The sequence below is a fragment of the Homo sapiens genome, chromosome 3 (assembly GCF_000001405.40).
Source record: "Homo sapiens chromosome 3, GRCh38.p14 Primary Assembly".
Lineage (NCBI taxonomy): Eukaryota > Metazoa > Chordata > Mammalia > Primates > Hominidae > Homo > Homo sapiens.
Window position 1 is genome coordinate 17,244,197 of NC_000003.12, and position 12,743 is coordinate 17,256,939.

At 37.7% G+C, this 12,743-nt stretch overlaps 1 protein-coding gene across 65 annotated transcripts in view; it reads right to left on the reverse strand.

The window, feature by feature from the left end:
- Window positions 1-12,743, reverse strand: part of TBC1D5 (TBC1 domain family member 5) — a 585,470-nt gene that overhangs the window by 87,035 nt on the left and 485,692 nt on the right. For 3 of the 65 annotated variants that reach the window (XM_047449322.1, XM_047449320.1, XM_047449321.1), the window contains one exon: window positions 5,611-7,005. The exons of the other annotated variants lie outside the window; for them this stretch is intronic. In XM_047449322.1, the coding sequence (XP_047305278.1) occupies window positions 7,002-7,005 (4 nt within the window). In that variant the 3' untranslated portion in view covers window positions 5,611-7,001. Of the gene's footprint in view, window positions 1-5,610; window positions 7,006-12,743 lie in introns of those variants that run through there. 65 annotated transcript variants of the gene reach the window in all.

Sequence of the window (12,743 nt, forward strand, 5' to 3'; positions counted from 1 at the left end):
TAATCTTTAGATACACAGCCTAGTTCTAGTCCTGGCATGCCTGAGAGACAGTATTAAATGAAAGCCCCTTTCCAACTCTAAGAGTTTATGATCTGCAGTGCCAAATGGCATCTATCGTCACATTTATCACATCACTCAGACAAAAGGACCAAATAAGAGGCTTGTATACTAGTATAGGACCTTGAGAAATGCCAGTCAAACCCCATCTCCAAATGAAGGTGCCTATTTTCCCTGTGTCCTTAGTTTCACCTTCAGTTTCCATTCCATTCCTTCTGCCCTTCCTTCCTCCTATCTTCCTTCCAAAATCTTTCTTTTCTATTCTTTTCCCTTCTCTTTCTTTCATAGTCTCATTTTCTTTCTATCATTTTCTCAAATTGTTCTATCTATACTTTTTACTACCATAAAAACATTTAATGCAGTGGGATACTTGGAAAAAATAAATTGATGCCACTAAACATATATCTATGTATCTCTGGTTTGGAGACAGAAACAATATTCTCTTTGCACCCCTGTATACTCCTAACTCTGTCATTATTGATCTGCTGAGTGGATTATGGTTTATATTTATTTCTTCCATGCTTATAGATATCAATCTATTTGGAAACTTAAAACATTCATCAGAGTTGCAACATAATACTTTCAAGATGATTCTAACATCTAAGGTAATAATCAGGATATACTTCTATTTAAAAATTCTGTAAGTTAGAGGCCAGGTGTGGTGGCTCAGTCCTGTAATCCCAGTACTTTGGAAGGCCGAGGAAGGACAACTGTTTAAGCCCAGGAGTTCAAGACCAGCCTGGGCGATATAGTGAGACCCTGTCTCTACAAAAAAAAAAAAAAAAAAAAAAAAGCCAGCCATGGTGGTGTGCACCTGTAGTCCCAGCTACTTGAGGGGCTAAGGTGGGAGAACTGCTTGAGCCTGGGAGGTCGAGGCTGCAGTGAGCTGTGATCACACCAGTGCGTTCCTGTCTAGGCAACAGAGCAAGACCTGATCTCAAAAAATCTGTAAGCTAAAGGTTTTGAATTCTGTAAAAGGAATGTTTCTAAAGTTCTTAATTCTGTAACTTTGAAGTTCAGTGTTTCAAATTTACTTCAATGAAAGACTTCTATATCTAATTTTAATTTGCTTGCCATACTGTAAGGTTTGTTATTTTAGGAAGTGAACTCACTGCTCATCTCAAGGAACTCTAGATTCTTAAAGATCTTTATTAAAACTAAATGATGAAGGTTAGCTTGTTAGTACTTACTCCTTTAGAGTTGAATTTCAAGGGAAACATGTTTCCTTTCAGCTATAAAGATTAATTCTTTTATGTGCAGCAGGCAAACTTTCGTCTATATGATGAGCAGCAAAAGGAGTAGTGTTTGTTAGGAATAAAAAGGTTGGCACTGGTGACAAGAGTAGACGTAAGCTAGACTATGGGGCTTACGTAATTGGGGCAACATACAGTTTATAATGTTGATTAAACTAACATAACAAATAATAACCTATTATGTATTAATCATGATGCATCAAATCATTAAACTTCTCAAGATATACATATAGGAAAAGAAACTGAGATTTCTATTTTGAGAGTGGTAGTTTTGAACTATTTGAATTATTATTTGAATTATTTATTTGAACTATTTGAATTATTATTTGAATTATTTTCTCACCTGTATCTGAGGGATATGAAATCATTCCCATAAATAACCATGGTTCACACGAGCAGCATCTCTAGAGCATTAGGGATTTTCTGGCCTAGACTAACACATGAGAAAGGGAAGAGAGTATAATCCTGAAATGTTCACACTTTGGGAAGTTTTTGCCCTCTTCACCTCTCTTTTCCCACTTTGAGAATCACTATATGTCTTCATAATTGAAAAAAAATACAGCTGCAGTAAACATATACTAAGAATTAACTGTTATGGTTTGAAGGTAGGGGTACAGAAGCCAATAAAATATAAAGATATTTGAGTCTGCAAAATGAAACAGTCACATTTTAAAATGCAGGCATAGAAAGGAACAGATTATATGTAGAAAAACAAAGGAATATATTTTTTCTTAATTAAAAAAACTATAAAACACTGCTGAGAAGTTAAAGATGACCTAACTAAAGGATGAGATAGCCCATGTTCATGGATTAGATAATTCAATAATGTTGAAGTTATCAGTTCTTTCTAAATTGATATACATATTAAATGTAACTCCAATCAAAATCCCAACAATTTTTATAGAAATTGGAAAGTTGATTGTAAAATTTATATGAAAATGCAAAGGAACTAGAATAGTGAAAGTAATAAAAAAGAACAAAGTTGGAGGACTCAGCCTACTTAAAATCAAGACTTGCTATAAAGTTATATGATTAAGCCACTGTGTTACCAGAGAAAAAACAGAGTGTGGAAATGGATCACACATATATGGCCAGTTGATTTTCAACCAATGATCCAATTTAATTCAGTAGAGAAAGAAAAGACTTTTTAACAAATATTGCTACACAGCTGGGTATCTATCTTGAAAAAGATGAACCTCAACCTTTACCTCATTTTACACACAAAAATTACTTTGAGGTGGATCATAAATTTAAATACAAATGGTAGAACCACACAACTTTTAGATGAAAACAAGAGACTATCTTTGACTGTACAGTAAAGGGTTAACTCAGCATACCTGTGCTGCCCAAAGCCTGTACCTTTCAAAGGACTGGCCCTTGACTGATTCCTGGGAGATAACCTATAAGCCTTTGGAATATCCTGCCTGATAAAAGCGTCTTTATATATCTGGGCCTTGGGTCACACCAAATTGTTTACACTAACAATGGGATGTATGGTAAACACCTGTTTTTTTTCACCTGGGTCCTGGGTCACACTGTATCAGTCTGACCTCTCTGGGCAGGAATTGGAGACTGGGTAGGTAAGGTTAGTCACATGGGCATTCCATGCCTACATGACTGACTCCCAGTAAAAAATCCTGGGGGACACCAAGGCTTAGGTGAGCAGCTCTACTTGGCAACACTTTGCATGTGTTGTCATTTATCTTGCTGGGAGAATTAAGCACTCCACTGGGAGAGAACAACTGAAAGTTTGTACAGGCATACCTCAGAGTTATTATTATGAGTTCTGTTCTAGACCACTGTAATAAAGCAAGTATCACAATAGTGAATTACACAATTTTTTTGGTTTCCCAGTAAATATAAAAGTTCTGTTTACATTATACTGCAGTCTATTCAGTGTGCAATAACACTATGTCTAAAAAAAGGAAAAATACTAATTAAAAAAATACTTTATTGCCAAAAGATGCTAATGATCATCTGAGCCTTTAGTGAGTCTTAAGCTTTTTGCTGATGGAGGGTCTTGTCTCAATGTTGATGGCTTGTGACTAATCAGGGTGGTAGTTCCTGAATGTTGGGGTGGTTGTGGCAATTTCTTAAAATAAGACAACAATGAAGTTGGCCACACTGATTGACTCTTCTTTTAAAGAAAGGTTTCTCAATAGCACATGATGCTATTTGATAGCATTTTACCCACAGCAGAACTTCTTTAAAATTGGAGTCAATCCCTTCAAACCCTACTGCTGGTTTATCAACCAAGCTTATGTAATATTTTAAATGCTTTGCTGTCATTTCAATAATGTTCATAGCATATTTACCAGGAGTAGATTCCATCTTAAGAAACCACTTTACCCATCCGTAGGAACTCTCTTCTTCTATTACAGTTTTATCATGAGACTGCAGCAATTTGGCCACAATTTTAGGCTCCACTTATAATTCTAGTTCTCTTGCTATTTTCACCCCATGTGGTTACTTCCTCCACTAATTTTTTTTTTTTTTTTTCTTCTAAACAGAGTCTCGCTCTGTCACCCAGGCTGGAGTGTGGTGGTGCAATCTCTGCTCACTGCAACCTCTGCCTCCCGGGTTCAAGCGATTCTCCTGCCTCAGCCTTGCGAGCAACTGGGACTAAAGGCACCCGCCACCACACCCAGCTAATTTTTGTATTTTTGGTAGAGACAGGGTTTCACCATGTTGGCCAGGCTGGTCTCGAACTCCTGACCTCAGGTGATCTGCTCGCCTTGGCCTCCCAAAGTGCTGGCATTACAGGCGTGAGCCACTGCGCCCGGCCTGATGTCTTGAATCCCTCTGAGTCATTGATGAGTGTTGAAATCAACTTCTTCTAAAATCAACTTCTTTCAAACTCTTGTTAATGTTGATATTTTGACATCCTCCCATGAATCATGAATGTTCTTAATGGCATCCAGAATGGTAAATCCTTTCCAGATGGTTTTCAATTTACCTTGTCCAGAACCATCAGAGGAATCACTATCTATGGCAGCTATAGCCTTATGAAATGTATTTCTTAAATAATAAGGCCTGTGAGTCAAAATTCCTTCTTGACCTATGAGCTGCAGAACAGATATTGTATTAGCAGGCATGGAAACAACATTAATCTCCTTGATTAATGCTTGGGTGCAAGCTCTTGGGTGACCAGGTGCATTGTTAGTCAGAAGTAGTATTTTGAAAGGAATATTTTTTTTCTGAACAGTAGGTCTCAACAGTGACACAGAGAGACAGGCTGCCCTTTGAAATTTTGATGCCAGGCACTGATCCTCCTCTCTGGCTACGGAAGTCCTTTGCAGCATCTTCCAGTAGAAGCCTGTTTCATCTATACCGAAAATCTGTTGTTCAGTGTAGCGAGCCCCCTTTATCAATTATCATAGATACATCTTCTGGATAACTCGCTGCAGCTTCTATATCAGTACTTGCTGCTTCACCTTGCACTTTAATGTTACAGAGACAACTTCTTCCCTTAAATCTCCTTAATCAATCTCCACTAGCTTCCAACTTTTCTTCTGCAGCTTCCTCACCCCTCTCTGCCTTTACAGAATTGAAGAGTTAGGGCCTTGCTTCTAGATTAGGTTTTGGCATAAGGGAATGTTGTGACTGGTCTGATTGTCTACCCAGACCACTCAAACTTTCTCCATATCAGCAATAAGGCTGTTTATTTTCTTATCATTCATGTGTCCACTGGAGTAGCACTTTTAATTTCCTTCAAAAACTTTTCCTTTGCTTTCATGATTTGGTTGTTTGCTGCGAGAGATCTAGCTTGCGACCCATTTCAGCTTCTGACGTGCCTTCCTAACTAAGCTTCAACATTTCCAGTTTTTGATATAAAGTGAGAGATGTGTAACTCTTCCTTTCACTTGAACACTTAGAAGCTATTATAGGGTTATTAATTGGCCTATCATATGGTTTGAATATGTTTTCCCTCCAAATCTCATGTTGAAATGTGGTCTCCAGTGTTGATGGTGGGGCCTAGTGAGAGGTGTCTGGATCATGGGGGTGTACCCCTCATGAATGGCTTGGTGCCATCCCCTTGGTGATAAGTGAGCTCTTGCTCTGAGTTCACACGAGTAAAACTCCCTGAGCCCTCCCTAGAAGTCCAGCAGATGGTGGCACCAGGCTTGTACAGCCTGAAGAACTGTGAGCCAATTAAACATCTTTTCTTTATAAATTACCCAGCCTCAGGTATTTCTTTATAGCAACACAAAAATGGCCTAATACAGCCTAATTTCAATATTACCAAGTCTCAAGGAATAGGGAGGCCCAAGGAAAGGGAGAAAGATGAGGAAAGAACCAGTTGGTGGAGCAGTCAGAACACACACAGTATTTATTGATTAAATTTGCTGTCTTATATGGGTGCAGTTCATGGTGCCCCAAAACGATAACAAGATTAACATCAAAGCTCACTAATTACAGATCATCTTAACAGGTATAATACTGAATACATATGAAATAGTGCTAGAATTACCAAAATATGACAGAGACAAAGTGAGCACATGCTATTGAAAAAACAGTGCTGATGGACTTGCTCAGTGCAGGGTTGCTACAAACCTTCAATATGTAAAAAATGCAATAAAATGAGGTGTGCTTGTAATAATACACAGTTACCCAGTGCTTGTAATAATCCCCAGTTAGAATTGCCCTTGACTCCTATTTTTCTCTTACATTACACATTGAGTCCATCAGCAAATGCTAGTCAAAATATATACTCAAACAAATCACTTTTCTCTCTCTGCACTGCCAATACCATGTTACCATATCATTGCTAATCTTGCTGCTCATCTCCTAACTAGTCTCTGTTTCCTCTCCTCCTTATAGACTATTTTCCACACAGCACCCAGATTAATTTAAGTCAGATCATATCATTCCACCATTCAGAGCCCTTTGGTGAATTCCCAAAAATCTTAGGATAAAACCCTAAGCATTTTCAATGGCCTGTAAGGCAAGCCCTACATGATCTAGCCTCCTACTATCTCTCCAACCTCATTTACTACCAATGTCATTTGCTACCACCCTTGCGTGTTGTTCACTGGGCTCCAGCCATACCGGCCTGCTTACTATTTCTCAAGCGCAGAATCATTTTTCCACTTCAGAAGCTTTGTACTTGCATTTTCCTATAACGGGAAATGTTCTTCCCCAAGAATCCACGTGGCACCCTCACTATTCAGTCTGTTCAAATAGCATCTTTTCAGAGACACTCACTTTGACTACTCTATTTAAAATAATGAACTCCTTTAACTCTGTCTCTTTGCTTTGTTATTGGTTTTGTGTTTCTTATAGAAATTCTCACTTCCTGATGTTATTTTTAGCTTTAAAAATTATTGTGGTATATTTTGATTGTTTCTTGCATTAAAATATAAACTCAATGTTTGTCTTGTTGGCACTAAATGCAAGAATTGCAAACAGCACAAATAAACATTTACAAAGCAATTCAAATCCACAACTAGTAAAAGAAATGAAAATTGAAGCAACAAAAAGTTTCAGCTTTCTTATTAGCACCTTTCCTATTAGCAAATTAATAATTAATGAGCAAGCACTGGTAAAAGTGCCTGTATTTCCTTAGTCACCAATGAGGGAGTACGAATGGAAACAAGCTTGATAATCTTACCAAAGAGTTCTTCCACTTCTATATGGAGCCCTGATAACCCATATTATTCCCTGGCGATTTGTTCATCATGGTCCACTCTTTTATCTGTGGTAAAAAAAAAACCACTGTAGCTGTGGAACCTTTGATAAAGTTCCTGTTAAGCTACTTAAGGCCTAGGATGCTTTCACCAGGCTTGGCTCTTTAGCCATAATTGGCCTTGCTACTATTTCCTTGGCTGTTTGGAGGCTATTAAAGAGTTGGTGCATTGGGGCTGTCATGCAAGAGGGGAAGTAATGATGATCCAGAGGGAATATATATACTCACGGGAACCCCCCCCCCCCCAGTAGAAGCGATTAGAAGTGGAGGTTAGACAAGAGACAGGCACACATATGGAAAGCAGGCGGCTAATACCTGCTACATCTATGGCAATGGGCTTTTATTTGTGTTGCATATCCAAATAAGGAAAGAGGATGCAAAGATGACATGTGATTTCATGGATAAGAATATCTCTAAAAATCAAGAAGCCTGATTTCTCTTCTCTGCTTCACCATGGATTGCTATAATTAAGTCTTTAAAAGCAACTGCCTAGGTATTTTAGTGATAGATTTTCCATTACGTGTATGGATAATATTCACTTTGCTCTGATTTAACTTACTTGCACATTTCTTTTTAAAAATGGGAATTGACATTTTCCTACTCATTCAGAAAGCTTGGAATGACAATTTAACACTAAAATCTTATTCCAATTTTGTCCTTAAATAACCAGAAATTGCTGCTATTAAAAAAGTACATTTAAATTGTGACCAGTCTTCAGAAAGATCCATCTAACTTATTTAAGAATCTGTGACTACTGAAATGCTCAATTGAATAGTCACAGAACAGAACTTCATATTTTTTAAAGTCTGCAATCTCCTACACTAAGAGTAGAATCTCATATTTTCTTTATTCCAGAACATTCATGGATTTTCTGTTTTGAAAATGACACAATTTTTCAAAATGTAAAATTCTTTCTCCTGTGAAGAGGTGATAAAATAAATGGTAGCTGAGCTGTCAGTACTGCCTCAAGAGTATGTCACTTTATCTAGTGACGGCTTTTTACAGACTCCACAGCTATAGGTCTTTTAACTTGCTTAAGCAATTTTACACAACCAAAATCAGGTATTTCATTTGATAAAATTGAAATTTAACAGAGATGGAAGAAACCAAGATTAGTTCTTTGATCTCTCACTCCAGCAGATCAGAAATAACATTCTCTGTGCTAACTATCCCAGTTTTCCTCTGCCCCGACAGAGCCTAAATAACTTCACTGATATTGATGATGAAAGATTCCAGAATTTTAATTCTGGCATGTAGGTCCTCTGTAGAAGGCTGCTAGTCAGGACCCCTGCCTGACATATAAGAGGAAGCCAGGATCTAGGAAAAGAAGATTCTTACTAGGAGGGTTTCCTGGGCATTTAAGATGTATCCACATTCCTCAGCAGGATTCTATGTGTCTGTGGAGTAATGGTAACTATTCTTACCCCAAGAAAGCCTAGCGGCCAATAATTCCCCATCTCTACCAGGGATCAGGATCTGCCTCAGCTTAGGAGTGCTCCTCTCAAGGGCTGGCCTAAGCAGAATGTCCTGGAAAAGTGCAGTTTTCCCAGGGTACACAAAGATTCTTCCAATGACTATAATCTTATACTAGAATCTGAGCTCTGTGAGAACAGGCACCACATCTATCTTTTTCACTGATGTTCTCTCAATACCTGGCACAGAGAAGAAATTAAAGCATTTGTGAAATGAATGAATACTTGTTCACTTCAATTGTGGAGTAACCCATATGCCTAAGAGTGGTATCTCACATAAACCTAAACATCCTTGATATCAGGGTGTGGGTCTTAGAATCATCATATTCCCAGGGCCTAGCACAGCGTCTGGCACTGTGTATAGTATTCAATAAATATTTAGTTTAACGATTGAATAAATACATACTGTTTTGAAACCTAAAAAGCATTATAAGATTCTCCTGAACAACTTCCATTTTATATGGTAAGATTTTTTAAATGCTTAATTCTATTTACTTCTATAATGACTGTATTTTTTTCAGATGTTTTATTGCTAAATTACATTAAAGAAATAATATGCTAATAATGTTCTCCAAGCCATGAAGCCAAGGAGTCCATGGTTATCAGTATTAGTAATTTGTTGATCAGAATTTCAAAGGACACTGATGGCTATAGAAATACAACTTTATGATTTTTTGTGTTCAAATAACTAAGCATTTGTGGTACAACTAAAGTGCTCTTTCTGAAGAGAGTTGTTAATTCTTAACCAATTTAGGTAAAACAGTAACATTGTCTCCTATCTAGTCCAGAGCAAATACATCTTTTTCTTTTTATAAAACAAAACTTAGGTATAATTTATATATAATATACAGATCTTAAATGTTCAATCTGATGAGTTTTGACACTTGTGTACACCTGTATAACCACCATCCCAAATAATATACCTAGAATGAACATTTCTATTACTCCCAAATTCGCTCATGTCTCTTTAGAGTCAATTCCAAACCCTTATCCTGAGGTAGCTACTTTCTGATTTCTATCACCACATGCTAGCTGCCCGTTCTCGAGCTTCATATACATGGAACAATACAACATGCTCTCTTCTCTGACTAGCGTTTTTTGTTCAGCATAATGTTTATGAGATGCATGTATGTTATTGCATATATCAGTATGCTTAACCCTTGAACAACACAGGTTTGAACTACACGGGTGCACTTACGTGCGGATTTTTTTCAACCAAATGCAGAGAGAGGAATGTGAAATTCATGTATATAGAAGGCTGACTTTTCATATATGCAGGTTCCTATATGAGAGAGCCGACTATGGGACTTAAGTACACGTGGATTTGGCTATATGCAGGTGGTCCTGGAACCAATTCCCCCAGGAACAACTCTAGTTCATTCCTTTATAGCTGAGTAGTATTCCATTATTTGAATGTACCACAAATTGTTTACCTGGTCTCTTGTTGATGGAGATTGGGTTATTTCCAGATTTGGGGTATTATGAATAAGGCTGCTGTGAATATTCTGTTTCAATGTTGTTTGTTGTGGCTTTTGGATATGTGTTTTTATTTCCCTCGGATAAACACTTAGAAATTAAACTGCTATATTACAGGATATATGTTTAACTTCATAAGAAATTACCAAACTATTTTACAAAGTAGTTATACCTTTTCTGCTCACATCAGGAATACATGAGGGTTCTAATTGCTCCACATCCTTGCCAACATTTGCTACTGTCAATTTTTTATTTTATTTTATCCATTATAGTTGGTATGAAATGTTATCTCATTGTGGTTTAATTTGCATTTTCCTGATGACTAATGTTGAACATCTTTTCATAGCACATTGATGATTTTTATATCTTCTTTTGTGAAGAGGCTGTTGAGTATTTTGCCTATGTTATATTTTTCCTGACATACAAAAATTCTTTATATATTCGGGATATATGTATTAAAAATATTACTCCCAAGTATGTGACTTGCCTGTTCTTTTTCTTAATGGCATATTCTGATGAACAAAAAAACCTTTAATTTTAAGTTCATTTTATCTATCTTTTCTAGTGCTTTTTGTTTCCCGTATAAGAAATCTTTGCCTACCCTTTGTCTTTACCGTGGCGGGGGTGGGGGGGGGGTCCCAAGACTACCAATTAGGTTTGATGATATACTAGAAGAAAAAGCTGTTACACTCATTCCAGATTAAGGCCAAGAAAGGAAAAAGGTTGGAGTCAAAGAGAAACAAAGTTTGGTATCTATTGTGAGAAACATTGTGGGCATAACAGGCATGTGAGTGTGGGAGTAGAATCAACAGTTCTGTTTGAAAAATACTAAATTTAAGCTACATGTGGGACATCCAAGAGAAAATATTAGTAAGTAGCAAGGGATGGGTAAAACTGAAGACATAAATTAAGGACCCATCTGTAGGCCATGAACTGAGTTGAAATCCTCAAAGGAATGAGTATAGAGAAGAAAAGAAGTGTGGGGTTGGGGCTGTTCCAATATTTGGAGTAAGAAGAGGATTTAGCAGACCATGGCAAGAGACAGAATGGCCACTTAGGATCTTGTGTTTCTTTTTTTGAGATGAAGTCTCTCTCTGTCGCCCAGGCTGGAATGCAGTGGCACGATCTCGGCTCACTGCAACCTCCACCTCCTGGGTTCCAGCGTTTCTACTGCCTCAGCCTCCCGAGTAGCTGGGACTACAGGCTAGTGCCACCACTCCCGTCTAATTTTTTGTATTTTTAATAGAGACAGGGTTTCACCACGTTGGCCAGGATGGTCTCGATCTCCTGACTTCGTGATCTGCCCTCCTGGGCCTCCCAAAGTGCTGGGATTACAGGTGTGAGCCACCGCACCCGGCCAGATCCTGTGTTTCTTACTGAACTGCCTAAATTCTTCATACATTAATGATATTATATTTTGCCAGTTACATCCACTACAAATATTTTCCTAATTTTTGGTTTGTCTTTTGATTCAGTTTATTTTTTACATATCTACTTTAAAATATGTGTTGTATAGTAAAATCCATTAGTTGTTCCTTTGTGATTTTCTCCATTAAAGGTTAAAACATCTTCACACTATTATTATTTGTCAATTAAAAATTTTAAAATAAGATTTAGGCCGGGCGCAGTGGCTCACGCCTGCAATCCCAGCACTTCGGGAGGCTGAGGTGGGCAGATCACGAGGTCAGGAGATTGAGACCATCTTGGCTAACACGGTGAAACCCCGTCTACTAAAAATACAAAAAATTAGCCAGGCGTGGCAGCGTGCGCCTGTAGTCCCAGCTACTTGGGAGGCTGAGGCAGGAGAATGGCGGGAACCCGGGAGGCGGAGCTTGCAGTAAGCCGAGATTGCGCCACTGCACTCCAGCCTGGGCGACAAAGCGAGACTCGGTCTCAAAAAATAAAAACAACAAAAAAAATTTGAAATAAGATTAAAAAGTCTTCAAGTAACTATTGGTCAGATTATTGGTCAGATAGGCACTTGCATTTTTATTTTTATGTTTGCTTGTTTCAGTGCACTTTGGAATTTACTTTTGTGTGTGGTTGATACTTTTTCAAAGATTTGCCAATTTTCCCAGCACCGTCTATTAACTATTTCCTTGCTTACTGAGTTGTGACGTCTTCTGCTTCAATTACTACATTTTATTTAGTTGAATTTCAATGTTAAGCTTTGCAATTGCAAAAGACGACAAAAAGTGTTCCTTCCAATCTTCAAGATACTTTGCACAAGAATCTCAATGTGTTTATATATATATAATATATATATAAACTCATTGTGTTATATATATAATATATATATAAACTCATTGTGTTATATATATATAAACTCAATGTGTTATATATATATAACAAAACCAACATTTTGTGGAAGAAAAATGCAGGGAGAGAAGGCTAAAGAGAAGAAAATCATGAAGGGGAGAAAATAATGGGTACAATACATTTCCTGTGGTGGAGAAAAAGGTGTTGAAAATATTTCAAAAAATTCATATAACAAATATGTGTTGAGTGCCTTCCCTATACCAGTCATCATTGTCCTAGGTGCCATGAAGTGGTGAATAAGACAAAAGCCTGCCCTCAGGGGCTTAGATTTTAGTGGAGACGTTGGGGAGACAGATTATAAATACACAAATGAATTATATAACTTCAGTTCATGATGATGGGATAGAGTGAATAGGGGAGGTGAAGACAGGCAGGAGGTTAAGAGTGGCCTCTCTGAGATGACATTTAGGCTGAGCTTTAAATCATGAAGAGGCATGGGAAGATGGGGGTGGCAGAAGTGCTCTAGCAGGAGGGAGGAGT